Below are 24365 nucleotides of genomic sequence, written 5' to 3' on the forward strand. Positions count from 1 at the left end.
AGATTGTGCCATTGCACTCCAGTCTGGGCAACAAGAGCGAAACTCAATCACACACACAAAAAAGTATTAGGGACCTAAAGAGCTTTTGTTTATGTGGATATCTATTGATATTTACCATAGTAGATATTAAAACAAATCCTTATTTATTTATTTTTTAATTTTTTTTTTTTTGAGTCAGAGTCTTGCTCTGTCACCCAGGCTGGAGAGCAGTGGCGCGATCTCCGCTCACTGCAAGCTCCACCTCCTGGGTTCACCCCATTCTCCTGCCTCAGCCTCCCGAGTAGCTGGGACTACAGGCGCCCGCCACCGTGCCCGGCTAATTTTTTTGTATTTTTAGTTGAGACGGGGTTTCACCATGTTAGCTAGGATGGTCTCGATCTCCTGATCTCGTGATCCGCCCATCTCAGCCTCCCAAAGTGCTGGGATTACAGGCGTGAGCCACCGCGCCCAGCCACAAATCCTTATTTATTTATTTATTTATTTATTTTTTTTTTTTTTTTTTTTTTTTGAGACGGAGTCTCGCTCTGTCGCCCAGGCCGGACTGCGGACTGCAGTGGCGCAATCTCGGCTCACTGCAAGCTCCGCTTCCCGGGTTCACGCCATTCTCCTGCCTCAGCCTCCTGAGTAGCTGGGACTACAGGCGCCCGCCACCGCGCCCGGCTAATTTTTTGTATTTTTAGTAGAGACGGGGTTTCACCTTGTTAGCCAGGATGGTCTCGATCTCCTGACCTCATGATCCACCCGCCTCGGCCTCCCAAAGTGCTGGGATTATAGGCGTGAGCCACCGTGCCCGGCCCGACAAATCCTTATTTATTAACTCATGTAAGATAACAATAATAAGCCTATTACATGTTAATAATTGTTGACTGCTTTATCAAGAACATTCTTATGTGAAACCAGCCTTTTCAGTGTGCAGTGGTGAAGAATGCATGCAATACTAATTGGGTGCCACTGCCTTGATTTATGTAAAGCCACAGCAGTTTTACCCCCATTGCTTTTGCACTTCGATGCAATGTGTCAACTCTGTCAAAAAGGCAAATAACGTATTAGAATTATTATGAAAATCGTTTGACCTCATCTATGCCCTGAAAAAATATTTGGGACTCCCAGGATTTGCGGACCACACCTTGAGAACTGTTATGTTACTCAATGGCTGGCATACAGTAGGAATCAGATAATTAGTATGGACTGAATGGAGAGGCCTGGGAGCTGGGGAGGAAGTGGGGGTCGGGTGGGAACATATGGATGCCTTTCAACCCAGGTGAAATTTGGGGATTGTCCACGTGCTCCTCCATTCCCCATGTCAGTGTAGACAAATGTTGAGTCATAGTTTGCAAAATGCCTCTCAGCTGGGCCAGGAGCCCTGGTTTCCCTGCTGGACCCACCCCTCACCCCTCCTTCCCAGGCAGGCAGGCAGGCAGGAATGCGGGGGAGAGGTGGCTGCAGCTCCACCGCCCTCATGGGGGAGGAAAGTGCCAGACATTTCTTCAGGACCATCCATCAAGTGCAGGCAGGCCTCTCCCCTGACCTCCCAGGCCTCTTCCTGGAGTCCACCCTGTGGGACCTGGACGTAGGGTGGCCACTGGGAGCTTGGAGGTCTGGCGTGGCACTGCTCCCTGGTACACGGCTGGCAGTTTGGGATAAAGAAAGGATAAATTGCTCCCCTCCTGTCCAGTGACTCTTGTTTTGTGCTTCCCGCCCACCCTTTTTGGCACCAGTCAGGCTCAATTTATCGGGAGAGGGAGCAGACATGGTCCAGTCCTCTCACCAGCCAAGCCGGGGATGAACAGCACTGGGAAGGCCTAACCAAGAGTGGTTGTCCTGTCAACCACAGCTACTGAACTTCCTGATGGGCCCCGGTGGCCCTGTAGCCTCCCATGCCCCAGTTCCTCCCCACAAGGGGAGCAGACAGCCCCTGAAGAGACTGGCTATGATAAAGAGAGCTGTGAGGCCTAGGAAGTTAGATCAGGGTGGAGCTGGGACAGCTACGGGGACTTGGGCTCTGGGGAGAGGAGCCTTAAATGAGGTGGGGAAGAGGGGCAGGGAGTGGACGACTGAGGAGCTCCAGAAGCACAATTCTAGGAAATTGCCGGTCAGATCCTTCCGAGGCAGCCTGGCTCCACTGCGGGCACCGGGAGGGGAAGGGGCTGTGCGGCGGAGGTGAGGAGGGGCCTAAGGAGTCGATGATTTCAGCGGCCCGAGAACTTTCACTGGAACTAAGGAGATTTCCTTCCGGAGGAAGGCCCCTGAAGCCAGGAAGAACTGGGAAAGCCATTCCTAAGGGGGCACCAGGAGGGTAGCAATAAAGCCCTCCCCACAGGCCGGGGAGACCGTCTTGTGCCAGGAACCTCCGCCCACATGGGAGGGGCAGTCTAGCCTCTCAGTTTCCCGGGCTGTCCCGCCTAGTACGTTTGGGAGGGGTGAGGGCCACAGGGTTTCCCCAGAGTATGGTAAGAATAACAATAATAATTGGCATTCGATTGTGCCTTGCAGTTGACAAAGGCTTTCACATACATTATCTCATCAGCCCACGTAACGCCCCTGGAAGAGTGGGGCGGGCTGAGAAGGCAGCTCAGCAGGCGGGTGGAAGGGCCAGCTGGAGGCTGTGCAGAGGGAACCCCCGCCCAGCCAGCCCCGAACAAGGCCACGGCCTGGAACAAAAATGGAGCTGACAGAAACAGACAAATAACCTCCTCCCTCACCCGCTCTTTTCTCTACGTCAAAGGGTTTGAGTCATTTATCACAGCAGTATATTTAGTAATAATTATTTTTAAAAAAGATTTATACCTTTCAGGACAGATCCGTGGAATCTAATTAAGCAGAGCCCAGTTTTGCAGACTGAAAGTCAATTTTTTAATTAAATTGCAGGAGCTATAAAAATAAATAAATTAACCATTTAAAAAAAAAAAAAGAATGCGGTCCAGGAAGATTTAATCTCTTTGGGTTGGAACGCAAGTAAGATTCCAGGCGAGGTGTTTACCACCAAGATGAAGGGTCGGGATGCGGATGAATTTGGTGTTGCACAAAGACAGGAGAGGACGCTCTGGAGGAAGATGAGACCACGTCCCATGCCTGCTCCCAGACTGCATTCTACCAGGAACAGGGGAGGTGGTGGCAAAAACCTGCTTGACTGTACCTCAAACCATGGTTAGAGAAGCAGTGAGAGAGTCCAGATAGGAAAAGACCCCAGCCATCCACTTCCATACCACATACACTGGCACCAGTGAGTCAGAGGATAGGCTGGTTGCCCTTTAAGAACCTTTCCAAAGGGAAGATTCCATAATCAGGCATATCTGCTCATGACAGTGGCACCCTGTCTGAACTTGATGCAATCATCCCAGTATGACTATCTGTCTTTGGCTTCCAAATGTGGACTACATATGGTATGCCTTGGCTATTGCATGTCCAATGATCAGGTCAGCCCACTAAACTTCAGGCAGGGAAAAACTAGGCCAAAATACCATGCAGATCTCAGTGTTCAAAACTGGCACAATTACACTCCTCTATCAAATGAGAGGCAGTGCAAAGTTGGGTAAGAGGCTGGACTCTGGAGATAGCCTGCCTGGATTTAGATCCCAGCTCTGTCACTCATAATCAATGTAACCTTATGCAAACTACTCAGCTTCTCTCTGCCCTGAGTTTTCTATTCTGTAACTCAGGAATGATCTTAAAACCTACTTCATAGGTTTGTTTTGAGAATTACATGACTTAATAATTCCTGTTACATGCTCAGAACACTGGCAGGTAATAACAATTAGGTAAGTGTTTGTTGGTATGATTAAGAGTCAACAGTATACAAATCATAACGCTAGATTTTTTTTTTTTAATTGAGACAGAGTTTCACTTTGTCTCCTAGGCTGAGCAAGAGTGCAGTGGAGCAATTATAGCTCACTGCAACCTGGAACTCCTGGGGTGAAGTGATCCACCTACCTCAGCCTCCCGAGCAGCTAGGCCTACAGGAGCACACCACCCCCACCAGCTAATTCTTTTTTTTCTGTTTTGGAGATGAAGTCTCACTCCGTCGCCCACGCTGGAGTGCAATGGCATTATCTCAGCTCACTGCAGCCTCCACCTTCCAAGTTCAAGTGATTCTCCTGCCTCAGCCTCGCTGGGATTACAGGTGCCTGCCACCAAGCCTGGCTACTTTTTGTATTTTTAATTAATTAGTTTATTATTATTATTATTATTATTGAGATGGAGTCTCGCTCTGTCGCCCAGGCTGGAGTGCAGTGGCGTTACCTCTGCTCACTGCAACCTCTGCCTCCCGGGTTCAAGCGATTCTCCTGTCTCAGCCTCCTGAGTAGCTGGGATTACAGGTGTGTGATACCATGACTGGCTAATTTTTGTATTTTTAGTAGAGACAGGGATTCACCATGTTGGTCAGGCTGGTCTCGAGCTCCTGACCTCGTGATCTGCCCACCTCAGCCTCCCAGAGTGCTGGGATTACAGGCGTGAGCTGCCATGCCTGGCCTAATTTTTATATTTTTAGTAGAGATGGGGTTTTGCCATGTTGGCTAGGCTGGTCTGACCTCAGGTGATCCACCTGCCTTGGCCTCCCAAAGTGCTAGAATTACAGGCATGAGCCACCATGCCTGGCCCCCAGCTAATTTTTAAAAATTTTTAGTAGGGACAAAGTTTCACTATGATGCCAAGGGTGGACTCAAACTCCTGGCCTCAAGTGATCTTCTTGCCTTGGCCTCCCAAAGTACTGGGATTACAGGTGTGAGCCAACGCACCTGGCCCATAATGCTAGATTTAAGGAGTTGCTTACATCTGAAGAATAGTGGGAAGTGAAATGCAGCACCTGATTGAACTCCTTAATGAGAGATACTAGTAAGATCTAAAAATCTTTGTATTAGAAAAAGTGCAGATTAGGCCGGGCGCGATGGCTCATGCCTGTAATCCCAGCACATTAGGAGGCTGAGGTAGGCAGATCACCTGAGGTCGGGAATTCGAGACCAGCCTGACCAACATGGAGAAACCCCATCTCTACTAAAAATACAAAAAAAAAAAAAAAAATTAGCCAGGCGTGGTGGCACATGCCTGTAATCCCAGCTACTGGGGAGGCTGAGGCAGGAGAATCATTTGAACCCAGGAAGCGGAGGTTCCGATGAGCCGAGATGGCACCATTGCACTCCAGCCTGGGCAACAAGAGGGCAACTCTGTCTCAAAAAAAAAAAGAAAGAAAAAGAAAAAGTACAGATTATGCAATCTAACTGCTTATCCAGGTCTGAAATCCTTTTAAAAATATCTGTGATCTTCAGCTGGGCACGGTGGCTCACACCTGTAATCCCAGCACTTTGGAAGGCCGAGGCGGGTGGATCTCTTGAGGTTAGGAGTTCAAGACCAGCCTGACCAACATGGTGAAACCCCGTCTCTACTAAAAATACAAAAATTAGCTGGGCATGGTGGCGCATGCCTGTAATCCCAGCAACTCAGGAGGCTGAGGCAGGAGAATCACTTGAACTCGGGAGGCAGAGGTTGCGGTGAGCCAAGATTGCATCATTGCACTACAGCCCGGGCAACAAGAGCGAAACTCCTCAAAAAAAAAAAAAAAAGGCCGGGCGCGGTGGCTCACGCCTGTAATCCCAGCACTTTGGGAGGCCGAGGCGGGCAGATCATGAGGTCAGGAGATTGAGACCATCCTGGCTAACACGGTGAAACCCTGTCTCTACTAAAAATACAAAAAACTAGCCGGGCATGGTGGCGGGTGCCTGTAGTCCCAGCTACTCGGGAGGCTGAGGCAGGAGAATGGCGTGAACCCAGGAGGTGGAGGTTGTAGTGAGCTGAGACTGCGCCAGTGCACTCCAGCCTGGGCGACGGAGTGAGACTCTGTCTCAAAAAAAAAAAAATGGTTAGGCGCGGTGGCTCACGACTGTAATCCCAACACTTTGGGAGGCCAGGGTGGGCAGATTACAAGGTCAGGAGTTCGAGACCAGCCTGACCAACATGGTGAAACCCTGTCTCTACTAAAAGTACAGGAAGATTAGCCGGGCATGATGGCTGGCGCCTGTAATCGCAGCTACTCAGGAGGCTGAGGCACAAGGATTGCTTGAAACCGGGAGGCAGAGGTTGCAGTGAGCCAAGATGGTGCCACTGCACTCTGGGCTGGGTGACAGAGTGAGACTCCATCTAAAAAAACAAAGAAAAAAAAAGAAGAAGAAGAAGATGGAAATGTTTCAATCATCACAATTCCTTTTGAGGGAACAGAAACTCATTTTATTTATGGAAAAGGGGGCTTGACCCTGAAACTGCCATCTAAGGAAGGTGCATCTTTTTTTGCTTTTTGTTTGTTTCTTTGGGTTTCATTTGTCTGTTTGTTTGAGACAGGGTTTTGCTCTGTCACCCAGGCTGGAGTGCAGTGGTAAGATCTTGGCTCACTGTGACCTCCGCCTCCCAAGTTCAAGCAATTCTCCTGCCTCAGCCCCTCGAGTAGCTGGGACTACAGGCACTCACCAACGCACCCAGCTAATTTTGTATTTTTAGTAGAGACGGGGTTTCACTATGTTGGTCAGGCTGACCTTGAACTTCTGACCTCAGGTGATCCACCCACCTCGGCCTCCCAAAGTGCTGGGATTACAGGCATAAGCCACTGAGCCCGGCCTGTTTCTTTGTTTTTTTGAGACAAGAGTCTCACTCTGTCACCCAGGCTGGAGTGCAGTGGCATGATCTCAGCTCACTGCAACCTCCGACTCCCGAGTTCAAGCGATTCTCTTGCCTCAGGTTCCTGAGCAGCTTGGATTACAGGCACACCACCGCGCCTGGCTAAATTTTTTGTATTTTTAGTAGAGACGGGGTTTTGCCACGTTGGTCAGGGTGGTCTTAAACTCCTGACCTCAGGTAATCTGCCCACCTCAGCCTCCGAAAGTGCTGGGATTACAGGTGTGAGCCACTGCGCCTGGTCGAGTTTTTTTTTGTTTTTTTGTTTGTTTGAGATGGAGTCTCGCTCTGTTGCCCAGGCTGGAGTGCAGTGGCACTGTCTCGGCTTACTGCAACCTCCGCCTCCCGGTAAGCAATTCTCCTGCCTCAGCCTCCTGAGTAGCTGGGGCTATAGGCTCATGTCACCACACCTGGCTAATTTTTGTATTCTTAGTAGAGACGGGGTTTCGTCATGATGGCCAGGCTGGTCTCAAACTCTTGACCTCGTGATCTGCCTGCCGTGGCCTCCCAAAGTGCTGGGATTACAGGCGTGAGCCACCAGGCCCAGCCTTTTTTTTTTTTTTTTTTTTTTTTAAGATTAATGACCTTGGGCAGGGTGAGGTGGCTCTCACCTGTAATCCTAGCACTTTGGGAGGCCGAGGTCAGTGGATCACGAGATCAAGAGCTCGAGACCAGCCTGGCCAACATGGCAAAACCCCGTCTCTACTAAGAATACAAAAATTAGCCAGGCATGGTGGCACGAGCCTGTAGTCCCAGCTACTCGGGAGGCTGAGGCAGGAGAATCACTTGAACCCTGGAGGCAGAGGTTCCAGTGAGCCTAGATTGTGCCAGTGCACTCCAGCCTATGCAACAGAGCAAGACCCTGTCGCAAAAAAAAAAAAAAAAAAAGATTAATGACCTTATTATTTCTAGAAATAACATACACTTAGAAAAAGAATTACAGAGAAGAAATAAAAAATCACCTAAGAGGCCAGGCATAGTGGCTCACACCCATAATCTCAACACTTTGAAGGCCCAGGCAAGAGGATCAATTGAGGACAGGAGTTCAAGACCAACCTGGGCAATATAACAAGACCTCATCTCTACAAAAGAAAAAAAAAATTAGCCAGGTGTGGTGGCACATGCCTGTAGTCCTAGCTATTCAATAGGCTGAGGCAGGAGGATCCCTTGAACCCAGGAGTTCAAGGTTACAGTGAGCCATGATGGTGCCACTGCACTCCAGCCTGAGTACAGAGTGAGACGCAGACTTACAAAAAAAAAAAATCACCTAAGATTCTGACATCAAAATAGTCATTATTGGCAGTGCATGGTGGCTTACATCTATAATCCCAGCTTGTTGGGAGGCCAAGGCAGGAGGATCACTTGAAGCCCAGGAGTTTGAGACGAGCCTAAGCAACATAGCAAGACCCTATCTCTACAATTATAAATATAGTATTTGTTAATATTTGGCCAGGCGTGGTAGTACATGCCTGTAGGCCCAGCTACTTGGGGAGAGGAGGCAGGAGGATCACTTGAGGGCCGAAGTTCTGGGCTGTAGTGCACTATGCAATCAGGTGTCCCCACCACATTGGGCATAAATCTGGTGATTTCCTGGGAGCAGGAGACCACCAGGTTGCCTTATAAGGGGTAAACTGGCCCACATCGAAAACAGAGTAGGTCAACATTTCCATGCTAATCAGTAATGGGATCCAGCCTATGAATAACCACTGCACTCCAGCTCGGGCAATACAGCAAGACCCTGAATTTTTTTTCTTTTTTTTTTTGAGACAGTCTTGCTCTGTGGCCCAGGATGGAGTGCAATGGTGTGATCTCAGATCACTACAACCTCCACCTCCGGGATTCAAGCAATTCTTCTGCTTCAGCCTCCCAAGTAGCTGGGATTACAGGTGGGCGCCACCACACCTGGCCGTACCCACATTTTTTAAAAATTAAAAAAATAAAAATAAGGCCAGGCACGGTGGCTCACCCTTGTAATCCCAGCACTTTGGGAGGCCAAGGTGGGCAGATCACCTGAGGTCAAAAGTTCGAGACCAGCATGGCCAACATGGCAAAACCCTGTCTCTAATAAAAATACAAAAATTAGCCAGGCGTGGTGGCGGGCACCTGTAATCCCAGCTACTCGGGAGGCTGAGACAGGAGAATTGCTTGAACCCAGGAACTGGAGGTTTCAGTGAGCCAAGATCGCGCCATTGCACTCCAGCCTGGGCAACAAGAGTGAAGCTCCATCTCAAAAAAAAAAAAAAAATTTAGCCTGGCGTGGTGGCACGTGCCTGTAGTCCCAGCTACCAGGGAGTTTGGGGTTGGAGGATTGCTTGAGCCCGGGAAGCAGAGGTTGCAGTGAGCTGAGATCCTGCCACCACACTCCAGCCTGGGCTACAGAGTGAGACACTGTCTCAAAAAAATAAAAAATAAAAATAAAATGTAAAAAAATCTGATGAACATCATTCCAATGTGAATTATAAATTGTTTGATGTTAGGTATTTATTTATTTATTTATTTTATTTTTTATTTTTATTTATTTATTTGTTTTTTTTGAGATGGAGTTTCACTCGTTGCCCAGGCTAGAGTGCAATGGCGCGATGTCGGCTCACCACAACCTCCACCTCCCGTGTTCAAGCGATTCTCCTGCCTCGGCCTCCTGAGTAGCTGGGATTACAGGCATGCGCCACCACGCCCAGCTAATTTTGTACTTTTAGTAGAGACGTGGTTTCTCCATGTTGGTCAGGCTGGTCTGGCTGGTCTCAAACTCCTGACCTCAAGTGATCCACCCGCCTTGGCCTCCCAAAGTGCTGGGATTACAGGTGTGAGCCACCACGCCTGGCCTATGTTAGGTATTTAATATAAATGCCTTTCATATTTATAGAAAAGCCATTCCAGCTCCCCACCTCTTCCAATGGTCCTAGAGAGGTAGGGGGCAAGACTCAACTCAGGAGGTGGGGCTCAGAAATAGGACCAAGTTGACGACTAGCTAAAACAGGGACTGAAGAGAAGCAGCTTTCCATGACATGCCCAACAGTGTGCCCTGTCAGTTCACCATTGCCATGGCAACACTGGGATGTTTCCGCCCCTTTCCATTGCAACAACCTGATGACCTGGAAATTACCAACCTTTTCCTAGAAATTTCTGCATAGCCCGCTTCTTAATTTGCATGTAATTAAAAGTGAGTTATAGGCTGGGCGAGTTGGCTCACGCCTGTAATCCCGGCACTTTGGGAGGCCGAGACGGGCGGATCACTTGAGGTCAGGAGTTCCAGACCAGCCTGGCCAACATGGTAAAACCCCATCTCTACGAAAAATATAAAAATTACCCAGGAGTGGTGCTGCACGCCTGTAATCCCAGCTACTCCAGAGGCTGAGTCAGGAGAATCGCTTGAACCCAGGAGGCAGTGAGCTGAGATCTCATCACTGCACTCCAGCCTAGGTGACAGAGCAAGACTCCATCTCAAAAAACAAAAACAACAACAACAACAAAAAAAGTGAGTTATAAATATGACTGCAGGCTGGGCGTGGTGGCTGACGCCTGTAATCCCAGCACTTTGGGAGGCCAAGGTGGGTGGATCATGAGGTCAGGAGATCGAGACCATCCTGACTAACATGGTGAAGCCCCGTCTCTACTAAAAATACAAAAAATTAGCCAGGCATGGTGGCGGGTGGCTATAGTCCCAGCTACTCGTGAGGCTGAGGCAGGAGAATGGCATGAACCCGGGAGGCGGAGCTTGCAGTGAGCTGAGATCGCGCCACTGCACTCCAGCCTGGAGAGACAGCGAGACTCTGTCTCGAAAAAATAAAATAAAATAAAATAAAAATGACTGCAAATGGCCTTTGAGCTGCTACTCTGGGTACACTGCCGATGGGGTAGCTGTGCTCCCCAGGGAGCAGCACCTGTGCTGCTGCTGTACCCTGCTGCTTCAATTAAAAGTTGCAGTTTAACACCGCTGGCTCACTATTGAATTCTTTCCTGGGGGAGACCAAGAACCCTCCCAGGCTAAGTGGGGCCCACCTGCCCTGCATAGCACTGGCTTTTTTTTTTTTTTTTTTTTTTTTTTTTTGAGACAGGGTTTCCTTCTGTCACTCAGGTGGGAGTGCAGTGGCTGGAGTGCAGGGATGACTTCTTGGCTCACTGCAACCTCCACTTCCTGGGCTCAAGTGATCCTCCCACCTCAGCCTCCCAAGTAGTTGAAACTACAGGCCCACACCACCACACCTGGCTAATTTTTGTGTTTTTTGTAGAGATAGGGTTTTGCCATGTTGGCCAGGCTGGTCTCCAACTACTGGGCTCAAGCGATTTGCTCACCTTGACCATCCAAAGTCCTGGGATTACAGGCATGAGCCACTGAGCCAGGCCCAGCATTGTCTTTTCTAAGTAGGCAGAGGTCCGCTGTCTCTTCTAACAACAGTGCCCACCCCCTCCTACCCCTCCATTTGGAGTCTCAGCAGTACAACATCACTACAGATGCTCTTTGACTTATGGGGGATGGAGTTACATCCCAATATGTCCGTCCTAAATTGAAAGTATTATAAATTGAAAATATATTTAATACAACTAGCAAGTATCTATAATAATTAAAAATTAAATATTAGCCAGGCACAGTTGCTCACACCTGTAATCACAGCACTTTGGGAGGCTGAGGTGGGCAGATCACATGAGGTCGGGAATTCAAGACCAGCCTGACCAACATGGAGAAACCCCGTCTCTACTAAAAATACAAAATTAGCTAGGCGTGGTAGTGCATGCCTGTAATCCCAGCTACTCGGGAGGCTGAGGCAGGAGAATCACTTGAACCGGGGAGGCAGAGGTTGCGGTGAGCTGAGATCGTGCCATTGCACTCCAGCCTGGGCAACAAGAGTGAAACTCCATCTCAAAAAAAAAAAAAGAAAAAGAAAAATAGTAAGTCAAAGACCATCTGTAGTTTCTTGAGACACTTCTCCAAGATCTTGGCTAGGCATGTGGTTCAAACCTGTAATCCCAGCACTTTGGGAAGCCAAGGCAGGAGGATTCCTTGAAGCCAATAGTTCAAGATCAGCCTGGGAAATATAGAGACTCTATCAAAAAAAAAAAAAAAAAAAGAGACAGAAAGAGGAAGGAAGGGAGGAAGGAAGGAAAGAAGGGAGGAAGGGAGGAAGGAAAGGGGAGGAAGGGAGGGCGGGAGGGAGGGAGGCAAAAGAAAAGAGAAAGAAAGAAAAAGAAAAAGAAGAAAGAAAGAGAAAGAAAGAGAAAGGGAGGGAGGGAAAGAAAAGAAAAGGAAGGAAGGAAAGAAGGAAGGAAGGAAGAAAAAGAAAGAAGGAAAGAAAAAGAAAGAAAGAAAAGAAAGAAAGAGAAAGAAAGAAAGAAAGAAAGAAAGAAAGAAAGAAAGAAAGAAAGAAAGAAAGAAAGAAAGAAAGAAAGAGAGAGAGAAAGAAATCTCCGGGCTCTGACTCCAAACTCTGTCACTCTGGATGAGTGCCTGTGGGTTTGCCCTAGTCTTTCCCTGTCCCTTTGACAACCTGCCTCCTTATCTGGGGCAGAATCTTCCAGGTGCAGCCCGAGGAGTGCAGACAGAAGGCAATTGTCACCTCCATACCTATTATGGAACTTGTGGCCACACATACACTCCTCCCTCTACCCCCACAGAATTTCTCACATTGCTCCTGTTAATCCAAGTCTCTTCCACCTGGTTCTCTGTTAAATTTTAAAGTTAAAAAATAGCTATTTTGCTAAAGATTTCATACAGGATTTGGGGGAAAGGAGGGATATGTCACCTAGAGACCAGTTTTTGTTTTTGTTTTGTTTTATTTAAAAACTCCAGTGGACAGTTTTGCTGTCTCCTCAAAGTCCCTCTGCAGCTGGCCCAAGCCAGGGTGGATCCAGGTTTTGTGGGACTTGGAGTTTACACAGTTTGGTGGGTCCCCTTTAAAAAAAAGAATACAGGCCAGGTGCAGTGGCTCATGCCTGCAATCCCAGCACTTTGTGAGGCCGAGGCAGGCGGATCACGAGGTCAGGAGATTGAGACCATCCTGACCATCATGGTGAAACCCCGTCTCTACTAAAAATACATAAATTATCTGGGTGTGGTGATGTGTGCCTGTGACCCTAGCTACTCGGGAGGCTGAGACACGAGAATCGCTTGAACACAGGAGATCGCGTCACTGCATTCCAGCCTGGTGACAGAGCAAGAGTCTATCTCAAAAAAAAAAAAAATGGTTACGAAATAAATATTTAATTAGAAAGTGAAAAGAAATTACAAATTTCAAAAACCTGACAGAAATCCAAACATCTCACAATCTAGAAGGATATCTTTATTAGTAACTACCCATCTCACTTCTATAATATTAACTACTACTTTTCTCTTTTTTCCTTTTTAAAAAAATTTTTTAAAGTTTTTTTATTTTCTTTTTTTTTTTTTTTTTTTGAGACGGAGTCTCGCTCTGTCGCCCAGGCTGGAGTGCAGTGGCGTGATCTCAGCTCACTGCAAGCTCCGCCTCCCGGGTTCACGCCATTCTCCTGACTCCACCTCCCGAGTAGCTGGGACTACAGGCGCCTGCCACCACGCCCGGCTAATTTTTTTGTATTTTTAGTAGAGACGGGATTTCACCGTGTTAAGCAGGATGGTCTCGATCTCCTGACCTCGTGATCCGCCTGTCTCGGCCTCCCAAAATGCTGGATTACAGGCGTGAGCCACCGCGCCCGGCCTAAAGTTTTTTTATTTTCTGTCAGACACTCTACAGCTCAAACTCCTACTTTTCGCACTGCGTACTCTGATTGTTATTTCATATAACAATGATTTTGTAATACTTCTTTCTTTTTCAGACACGATCTTGCTGTGTCACCCAGGCTGGAGTCCAGTGGCATAATCATAGCTCGCTGCAGCCTCAATCACTCAGGCTCAAGCAATCTTCCCACCTCAGCCTCCTGAGTAGCTGGGACTGCAGGCACACACTCTGTCTAATTTTTAGAATTTTTTTTTTTTTTTTTTTTTTTTTTTTTTTGAGACGGAGTCTCACTCTGTCACCCGGGTTGGAGTGCGGTGGCGCGCTCTCGGTTCACTGCAACCTCTATCTCCCGGATTCAAGCGATTCTTCTGCCTCAGCCTCCAGAGTAGCTGGGATTACAGGCGCCCACCACCACGCCCAGCTAATTTTTTTGTATTTTTAGTAGAGATGGGGTTTTTTCATGTTGCCCAGGCTGGTCTCAAACTCCTGGGCTCAAGTGATCTGCCCGCCTCAGCCTCCCAAAGTTCTGGGATTACAGGCATAAGCCACTGTGCCCAGCCCATGATATCATTTTTTTATGGAGGAAAAAGAAAGATAGTTCAATCTTTTCTCTAGCAAAATCAAATGAAGTTTGTTTATTGATTGATTGATTGATTGATTGATTTTTATTTATTTATTTATTTTGAGACGGAGTCTTGCTCTATTGCCCAGGCTGGAGTGCAGTGACGCGATCTCGGCTCACTGCAAGCTCAGCCTCCCGGGTTCATGCCATTCTTCTGTCTCAGCCTCCCTAGTAGCAGGGACTACAGGCGCCCACCACCACACCCAGCTAATTTTTTTGTATTTTTAGTAGAGACAGGGTTTCACTGTGTTAGCCAGGATGGTCTCCATCTCCTGACCTCGTGATCCGCCTACGTTGGCCTCCCAAAGTGCTGGGATTACAGGTGTGAGCCACCGTGCCTGGCCCAAAAGAAGTTTATTTTTATTTATTTTATTTCTTTTTCTTTTGAGACAGGTCTCACTCTGTCACCCAGGCTGAAGTGCAGTGGCATGATTACAGCACACTACAGCCTTGAACTTCTGGGCTCAAGAGGTCCTCCTGCCTCAGACTCCCAAGTAGCTGGGACTACAGGCATGTACCACCACGCCTGGCTAATTTTTTAATTTTTTTGTAGAGGCACTGTCTCATTATTTTGCCCAGGCTGGTCTTGAACTCCTGGCCTCAATCAATCCTCCTGCCTTGGCTTCCCAAAGTGCTGGGATTACAGGCGTGAGCCACTGTGCCTAGCCCATTTATATATTTTTAATCTTTCACTATTATAAATGCTATGTCTAATCCCATACCTATACCTAATGTGTTATCTCATATCTATGTTTCATTCAATATATCTGTAAGATAAACTCCTAGAAATGGGATTAGTGAGTCAAAAGATATAATATGCATTTGCAACTTTTATATCTATTCCAAATTGACCCTATATAGGGTTTAACAACTTGCACACCCGCCAGCAATGCATGATAGTGACGAATTCCCCAAAACTTTGACAACAGTATCAAACTAAAGTGGCTTCGTTGGCTGGGGTAAATATCCGAGGTTCGTCGTCTGGTACCAAGAAAATTTAGGACACAAACACACAGGAGGAGTTTCGTGGTACCTCAGTTTAGCTTTATTTGGACTTGCAACCCGGGAGGCGGAGGTTGCAGAAAGAAAAAGGAGAACAGCTTTCTCTCTGGCAAGAAAGAGGGGCTTCCCAAAGGAAAAGACTGGCCGGCAGCAGAGTTCGCCGGATTTTATAGGCAGGCTTGAAAGGCGATGTCTGATTTACGTAGGTAAATCAAATTGGTTCAATCAGGTGTGACGTTTATATAGCTTGAGGGGAAGGCTGGCCACCCCACCCTAATCTTATTATGCAAATGAACTCTCCCCTTGCCAGGTGCCATATTATCTGCTCCTTACTGTACACTGTGGCTGACAAAGAGAAGGAAAGATGGAACTGCCATTTTGAACATGATTGGCACAACTGTTGGCATCTATGTCTGCAGCTCGATTTCACAGGCTGCTCTTTGTTAGAAAGGAAAATGATCTGGGGTTGCTTTTCATTAAAAGGAGAACCTCCTGGTGGCTCATGCCGGTAATCCCAGCACTTTGGGAGGCCGAGGCAGGTGCATCATGAGGTCAAGAGTTCGAGACCAGCCTGGCCAACATGGTGAAACCCCGTCTCTACTAAGAATACAAAAATTAGCTGGGTGTGATGGCACGTGCCTGTAACCCCAGCTACTCTGGAGGCTGAGGCAGGAGAATCACTTGAACCCAGGAGGCGGAGGTTGCAGTGAGCCGAGATCCTGCCACTGCACTCCAGCCTGGGTGACAGAGCAAGACTCCGTCTCGAAAATAAATAAATAAATAGGCCGGGTGCGGTGGCTCATGCCTGTAATCCCAGCACTTTGGGAGGCCAAGGCAGGTGGATCACTTGAGGTCAGGAGTTCAAGACCAGCCTGACCAAAATGGTGAAACCCCGTCTCTACTAAAAATACAAAACTTAGCTGGGCTTGGTGGGGCACGCCTGTAACCCCAGCTACTCGGGAGGCTGAGGCAGGAGAATCCGGAGGCAGAGGTTGCAGTGAGCCCAGATTGTCCACTGCACTCCAGCCTGGGCAACAGAGAGAGATTCCATCTCAATAATAATAATAATGGCCAGGTGCAGTGACTCATGCCTGTAATCTCAGCACTTTGGGAGGCCAAGGAGGGCAGATCACCTGAGGTCAGGAGTTTGAGACCAGCCTGACCAATATGATGAAACCCTGTCCATATTAAAAAAATATAAAAATTAGCTGAGCGTGGTGGCATTCACCTGTAATCCCAGCTACTCGGGAGGCTAAGACAGGAAAATTGCTTGAACCCAGGAGGCGGAGGTTGCAGTGAGCTGAGATCGCACCATTGCACTCCAGCCTGGGCAACAAGAGTGAAACTCCATCTGAAAATAATAATCAATCAATCAATCAATAAAAATAAAAGGAGAACCTTACCAAGGACTCCCATATCCTATCTGCCTAAGTAGATTCTTTTTTTGTTTGTTTGTTTAATTTTAAGACAGAATCTTGCTCTGTTGCCAAGGCTGGAGTGCAGTAGCACAATCTCAGCTCACTGCAGCCTCCGCCTCCCAGGTTCCAGCGATTCTCCTGCCTCAACCTCCCGGGTAGCTGGGATTACAGGCACGTGCCACCAGGCCCGGCTAATTTTTGTATTTTTAATAGAGATGGGGTTTCACCATGTTGGCCAGGCTAGTCTCAAACTCCTGACCTCAGATGATCCACCCACCTTGGTCTCCCAAAGTGCTGGGATTACAGGCGTGAGTCACTGCGCCCTGCCATCTTCTTAACTCCTATATCAAAACTGGGATTCTTGTCAACCTGACAGATAAAAAGTGGTACCTCAGTTTAGCTTTATTTGCTCCATTTAAAAAATGAGGTAGTCTGGTGCAGTGGCTCACGCCTGTAATCCCAGCACTTTGGGAGGCTGAGGTGGGTGGATCATCTGAGGTCAGGAGTTCGAGACTAGCCTGGCCAACATGGTGAAACCCCATCTCTACTAAAAATACAAAAATTAGCTGGGTGTGATGGCACATACCTGTAATCCGAGCTACTTGGGAGGCTGAGACAGGAAAATCACTTGTACCTGGGAGGCAGAGGTTACAGTGAGCCGAAATCACACCATTGCACTCCAGCCTAGGCAACAAGAGTGAAACTCCACCTCAAAAAAACAAAAACAAAAACAAAAAAAAAGCAACAAGCTAGGCACGGTGGCTCACGCCTGTAATCCCAGCACTTTGGGAGGCTGAGGCAGGCGAATTACAAGGTCAGGAGTTCGAGACCAGCCTGGCCAACATGGTGAACCCCGTCTCTACTAAAAATACAAAAAATTAGCTGGGCATAGTGGTGGACACCTGTAATCTCAGCTACTCGTGAGGCTGAGGCAGGAGAATAGCTTGAACCTGGGATGCAGAGGTTGCAGTTAGCCGAGATCACGCCACTGCAATCCAGTCTGGGCAACAGAGCGAGACTCCAACTCAAAACACACACACACACACACACACAAAATACATATAGTAAAGTGTACAGCTCAATAAAGTTTTACATGTGTATACATTCATATAACCATCACCCAGAAAAAGATAGGATTGTTCCCAACAACTCAGAGGTTCTTTCCTGTCCCTCCTAATCAATACCTCCCCTGACCTTCAACCCCTTAGATGTAATCATTATTCTTACTTTTTTTTTTTCGATGGAGTCTCGCTCTGCCACCGGGCTGGAGTGCAGTGGCATGATCGCGGCTCACTGCAACCTCCGCCTTCCAGGTTCAAGTGATTCTCCTGCCTCTGCCTCCCGAGTAGGTGGGACTACAGGCGTGTGCCACCACGCCCAGCTAATTTTTGTATTTTTAGTAGAGATGGGGTTTCACCATGTTGGCCAGGATTGTCTCGATCTCTTGACTTTGTGATCTGCCCGCCTTGGCCTCCCAAAGTGCTGGGATTACGGGGTGAGCCACTGCGCCTGGCTTATTCTTACTTTTATTGACATAGATAACTTGTTTGTTTGTTTGTTTGTTTTTTAGAGAGATGGTGTCTGGCTATTGTCATTCCCCAATTGGTTCTTCTGGCCACTGAACACACGAAACCAATCCACTGAGACCCTGTTATTGCAATAAAGAGTTCAATCAATGCAAGGCCAGCTGTGTAGTACAACTAGAGTTATCACTCAAATCAGCCTCTCTGAAGGCTAGAAGGTTAGGGCCTTTCTTTCTTTCTCTTCTTTTTTTTTTTTTTTTTTTTTTTGATGGAGTTTCACTCTTGTCGCCCAGGCTGGAGTGCAATAGCGCAATCTCAACTCAGTGCAACCTCCGCCTCCCAGGTTCAAGTGATTCTCCTGCCTCAGCCTCCTGAGTAGCTGGGATTACAGGTGTTAGCCACCACGCCTGGCTAATTTTTGTACTTTTAGCAGAGATGGGGTTTCACCATGTTTGTCAGGCTGGTCTTGAACTCTGGACTTCAGGTGATCCGCCTGCCTCAGCCTCCCAAAGTGCTGGGATTACAGGCGTGAGCCACCATGCCCGGCTCCCTCCCTCCCTCCCTCCTTTCCTTCCTTTCTCTTTCTCTCTTTCTTTCTTTCTCCCTTCCCTTCCTTTTTTCTTTCTCCCTTCCCTTCCTTTTTTCTGTCTCTCTTTTTCTCTTTCTTTCTTTTCTTTTCTTTCTTTCTTCTTTCTTTCTTTCTCTCTCTTTCTTTTTTTCTTTTTGAGACTCTTTATGTCACTCAGGCTGGACTGCAGCGAAGCAATCTCGGCTCACTGCAACCTCCACCTCCCCGGTTTAAGCAATTCTCATGCCTCAGCATACTGAGTAACTGGGACTAGAAGCTCATGCCACTACGCCCGATTAATTTTTTGTGTTTTTAGTAAAGATGGGGTTTTGCCATGTTGGTTAGGCTGGTCTCAAACTCCTGGCCTCAAGTGATCATCAAAGTTAGGGTTTTTCAAAGATAGTTTGGTGGGCAGAGAACTAGGGAATGCGTGCTGCTGTTTTGTTGGGGATATAATGATAGGGGTGTGGAAAAATGTCCTTGTGTGCTGAGTCGGCCTCTGGGTGGCGGGGGGCGGGCACAAGACCATTTGGTTATATCATGAGCACAAGTCTGGGTAAGGTCAGTAAGTTGCCAGAATGTATTAGGTTGGTGCAAGAGTAATTGCAGTTTTGACCATTTCTTTTGCACCACCCTGATAGAAGTCTGACTTTTTTCTTTTTCTTTTTTCTTTTTTTTTTTGAGACAGAGTCTTGCTCTTGTGGCCCAGGCTGAAGTACAGTGGTGCGATCTCAGCTCACTACAACCTCCGCCTCCCAGGTTCAAATGATTCTTCTGTTTCAGCCTCCTGAGGAGCTGGGATTACAGGCATGCACCACCACACTCAGCTAATTTTTGTATTTTTAGTAGAGATGGGGTTTCACCATGTAGGCCAGGCTGGTCTCGAACTCCCGACCTCAGGTGATCTGCCCACCTAAGCCTCCTAAAGTGTTGGAATTACAGGCGTGAGCCACCTCACCCACCCTGAAAAACATTTTAAAAGACCAATCTTAGGTTCTACAATACTGATGTTATCTATAGGAGCAATTGGGGAAGTCACAAATCTTGAGACCACCGGCCACATGACTCCTGAGCAGTAAGGGATTATAGAAACTATGTCTATATTTTAGTAGAATTCACGTCCCTCCCATAATCCTAATCCTGTGGACTTTCATTAGTCTTATAAGGCAGTTTTCACTCCCTGAGCAAGAAGCGGGTTAGTTTTAGGAAGGCACTATTATCATCCTTGCTTTTAAATTAAGCTATGCACTAAATTCCTCCTATGGGTAGCTTGGCCTATGCCTAGGAATAAGAGAAGATAGCTAGCCTGTGAGGCTAGAAGCAAGATAGAGTCAGCCATGCTAGATTTCTCTAAACGGGCATAATCTTTGCAAAGGCAGTTAAACTATGTTGTCCAGACTGGTCTCAAACTCCTGGCCTCAAGCAATCCTCCCGCCTCAGCCTCCCAAAGTGCTGGGATTACAGGTAGGAACCACCACACCCAGCCATTCTTATACATGCTTTTTAGTAGCCACAGGTACTCATTTCTCTCAGCTATATACTTATAAATGCTGTATCATGGGATAGGCAATTGTTTGGCTTTGGTAGATACTGCTCAACAATTTACCAACGTACTGTTGGGGTTCAAAAAGTAATACCCCAAAGACTGGTGCTTTGACATGCTGTGGCCTTAAACGTGCTTTGATCCTCTGCAGGTGGATCACAAGGTCAGGAGTTAGAGGCCAGCCTGGCCAACATGGTCAAACCCTATCTCTACTAAAAATACAAAATTAGCTGGGTGTGGTGGCACACACCTGTAGTCCCAGCTACTCAGGAGGCTGTGGTAGGAGAGTCACTTTTACCTGGGAGGCGGGGGTTGCCGTGAGCTGAGATCATGCCACTGCACTCCAGCCTGGACGACAGAGGGAGACTCTATCTAAAAAAAAAAAAAAAAGTCCAGGCTCAGTGACTCATACACATACTCGCCAACACTTAGTACTGTCAGTCTTTTCAATTGTAGCTCTTCTAGAAAGTGTTTAGTGATATCTCATAGGTTGCTTTTTGAAATTTTAAAAGTGTGGGCCAGACATGGTGGCTCATGCCTGTAATCCCAGCAATTTGAGAGGCCAAGGAGGGCACATCACCTGAGGCCAGGAGTTCGAGATCAGCCTGGCCAAATTTTTTTTGTTTAAGAGTTGGGGTGGCCAGGTGCAGTGGCTCACGCCTATAATCCCAACACTTCGGGAGGCCGAGGTGGGCAGATCACAAGGTCAGGAGTTTGAGACCAGCCTGGCCAACATGGTGAAACCCCATCTCTACTAAAAGTACAAAAATTAGCTGGGCGTGGTGGCAAGTGCTTGTAATCCCAGCTACCGGGAAGCTGAGGCAGGAGAATCGCTTGAACCCGGGAGGTGGAGGTTGCAGTGAGCCGAGATCACACCACTGCACTCCAGCCTGGGTAACAGAGAGAGACTCCGTCTCAAAAAAAAAAAAAGAAAGAGTTGGGGTGGCTGGGCATGGTGGCTCACGCCTGTAATCCCAGCACTTTGGGAGGCCGAGGTGGGTGGATCACCTAAGGTCAGGAGTTTGAGACCAGCCTGGTCAACATGGTGAAACCCCATCTCTATTAAAAATTCAAAAATTAACCAGGGGTGGTGGTACTTGCCTATAATCCCAGCTACTCGGGAGGCTGAGGCAAGAGAATCACTTGAACCCAGAAGGCGGAGATTGTGGTGTGCCAAGATTGCGCCATTGCACTCCAGCCTGGGCAACAAGAGCGAAACTCCGTCTCAAAAAAATAAAATAAATAAATAAATACATACATAAATTCAAAGCAGGAACCCTCTCATCATCTTTGCTATCCACTAAGAGCCTCACACTTCAGAGCACCTTCTTGCAAGCTGCTGAATCAGTGAATGAACCTCATGTAATAAAGGTTTTTCAAGGCAAGCCAATAAGACATAAAGCCATCTTCTCAAATCCAAAGTAAAGTCTCTTTCTCCAAACCAATTACTCAGATATTCCAAGACAGTAGCTACTGTTGTCTGATTCATTCTGCTAGCAATACTAACCAAGGGAGGAAAACCAATTTGAACATAATTAATTCTAGGACTTTCATTTGTAGCTGTCAGTGACCACACCAGCATATAAACTTTCACTCAGACAAAATTTCTTCTAGCCTTCTTCATCTTTAGATTTTGGCATAGTCACATTACTATCCAACTGTCGTGATTTGCAGTGACTTCTATGTTTGTGCACATTCTGTCTTACGTTGAAAACGGTGCCACTTTCTATTGCCACTGAAGTATTGGGGAATAACCTTCAGGGGCAGGTTGGCATCCTAAAAGAGAAACCTTCACACCTTGCTTCCTTTTCAACTTCATTTTTTTTTGAGATGGAGTTTTGCTCTTGTCGCCCAGGCTGGAGTGCAGTGGTGTGATCTCAGCTCACTGCAACCTCCGCCTCCTGGGTTCAAGTGATTCTCCTGCCTCAGCCTCCCGAGTAGCTGGGATCACAGGCTCCTGCCACCACGCCCAGCTAATTATTGTATTCTTAGTAGATATGGGGTTTCACTATGTTGCCTAGGCTGGTTTTGAACTCCTCACCTCAGGTGATCCACCTGCTTCAGCCTCCCAAAGTGTTGGGATTACAGGCGTGAGCCACCGTGCCCGTCCTTCCTTTTCAACTTATTTGGGTCAGTTTGAGGTACCACAGCATCTGGACATTGAGCTGCTTTGGTATGGACCTTCCTCAGGTATTCCTGAGGCATCCTCTGGGATAACGAGGGATTGAAACCTTCTGTCTGGTGGCAGAGGGCCAGGCATCAACTCCTCTTCCACTGCAGACTCTGCTGGTACCCATGCCATGATTTTCAACCCAGCCAGTTCCCCACAGAATCTTTTTCTATTCCCTTTCTCTTCCCAACTTCTGTATCCATTTAGTTTTATCTATATTTTTATTCCTTCCAATTGAAACAAACTTTAAGTAACTTGTAAAATAGACACAATTATTTTTTCTCAATACTTTTACAACTTTCCTTGCCAAAAATATATCTTGCTTTTATTTATACACTTTGTATACAGAATTGTTTCTTTTATATCTAGTAGGTTTTTTGTTTGTTTGTTTGTCTATTTTGAGATGGAGTCTCTGTCACCCAGGCTGGAGTGCAGTGGCGCCATCTCGGCTCACTGCAACCTCGGCCTGCCAAAGTGCTGGGATTACAGGCATGAGCCACCACACCTGGCCATATCTAGTAGTTTTAATTACATATACTAACTATAATTTTTTTTTTTTAAGATGGAGTCTAGCTCTGTCACCAGGCTGAAGTTCAGTGGAGCAATCTTGGCTCACTGCAACCACCACCTCCCAGGTTCAAGCGGTTCTCCTGCCTCAGCCTCCCGAGTAGCTGGGATTGCAGGCATGCACCACCACGCCCAGCTAATTTTTGTATTTTTAGTAGAGATGAGGTTTCACCTTTGTTGGCCAGGATGGTCTCGATCTCCTGACCTTGTGATCTGCCCACCTCGGCCTCTCAAAGTGCTGGGATTACAGGCGTGAGCTATCGTGCCCAGCCTCTACTAACTATAATTTTAATTCTTAGTAATCCTAATTTCTAGTGAAAACCTAGGAAGTAAGTAATTTTTTTTTAAGAGATAGGGTTTTGCTCTGTCACCCAAGCTGGAGTGCAGTGGCACAATCATAGCTCACTGCAGCCTCGACCTCCCAGGCTCAAATGACTCTCCCACCTCAGCCTCCAGAGTAGCTGGGACTAGAGACATGCACCACCATGCCTGGCTAATTTTTTTTAGTTTTATTGTAGTGATAAAGGTTGCACCATGTTGCCCAGGCTGGTTGAACTCCTGGGCTCCAGTTATTCACTTGCGTTAGCCTCGCAAAATTACAGGCGTGAGTCACCACAATCAGCCCAATTTTTGTTTATTAAAAGATCTATCTAAATATATTTAGGTTTTCTATATTGTATATAAATAAGATGCCACAGTATAAAACTTATGTTTAATAATTAATGTTTCAGTATTTTAACTTATTTAGAAATGACTCAGACATTTCGTGATTATCTGTTACTTAATTTAACATAATATGACATAAGAATTTATTTTATTTTATTTTATTTTATTTTATTTTGGCCGGGCACAATGGCTCACGCCTATAATCCCACCACTTTGGGAGGCTGAGGCAAGCGGATCACTTGAGGTCGGGAGTTCAAGACCAGCCTGAACAACATAGAGAAACCCTGTCTCTACTAAAAATACAAAATTAGCCGAGTGTGGTGGTGCATGCCTGTAATCCCAGCTACTCGGGAGGCTGAGGCAGGAGAATTGCTTGAACCCATGAGGCAGAGGTTGCGGTGAGCCGAGATCACACCATTGCACTCCAGCCTGGGCAACAAGAGTGAAACTCCATCTCAAAAAAAAAGAAATCTCACTATGTTGCCCAGGCTGGTCTTAAACACCCGGACTCAAGTGATCCTCCTGCCTCAGCTTCCAAAAGTACTGGGATTACAGGATTACAGGCATGAGACACCACACACGGCCTTTATTTTACTAACAAATTTAAAGCTAGTTTTATTTATCAAAAATTGTCACATACACATAGCACATATAGGTATATAGACACACAAACAGAAGTACATCTTATAGCTTTCATAAAAAACTATAATTAGCTGGCTTTCAAATAGTTTTTTTTGCCATGTGTGATGGTGCATGCCTGTAATCCCAGCTACACAGGAGACTGAGGTGATAGCATTTAAGCCCAGGACTTTGAGACCATTCTGGACAACATAGTGAGGTACTGCCTCAACAACAAAAAACATAAAACAAAAAACAAAAATAGACTGGGGACAGTGGCTCATGCCTGTAATCCCAGCACTTTGGGAGGCTGAGGCAG

The 24365-nt window shown here is 47.0% G+C and overlaps 2 pseudogenes; one reads left to right on the forward strand and one right to left on the reverse strand.

Annotated features, from left to right (window-relative positions):
• Nucleotides 1–2277: 2277 nt before the first annotated feature.
• On the reverse strand, nucleotides 2278–22342 carry GEMIN2P1 (gem nuclear organelle associated protein 2 pseudogene 1; annotated as a pseudogene).
• On the forward strand, nucleotides 8109–8406 carry RN7SL372P (RNA, 7SL, cytoplasmic 372, pseudogene; annotated as a pseudogene).
• Nucleotides 22343–24365: the final 2023 nt, after the last annotated feature.

The sequence above is a fragment of the Homo sapiens genome, chromosome 1 (assembly GCF_000001405.40).
Source record: "Homo sapiens chromosome 1, GRCh38.p14 Primary Assembly".
NCBI classification, from domain to species: Eukaryota; Metazoa; Chordata; class Mammalia; order Primates; family Hominidae; genus Homo; species Homo sapiens.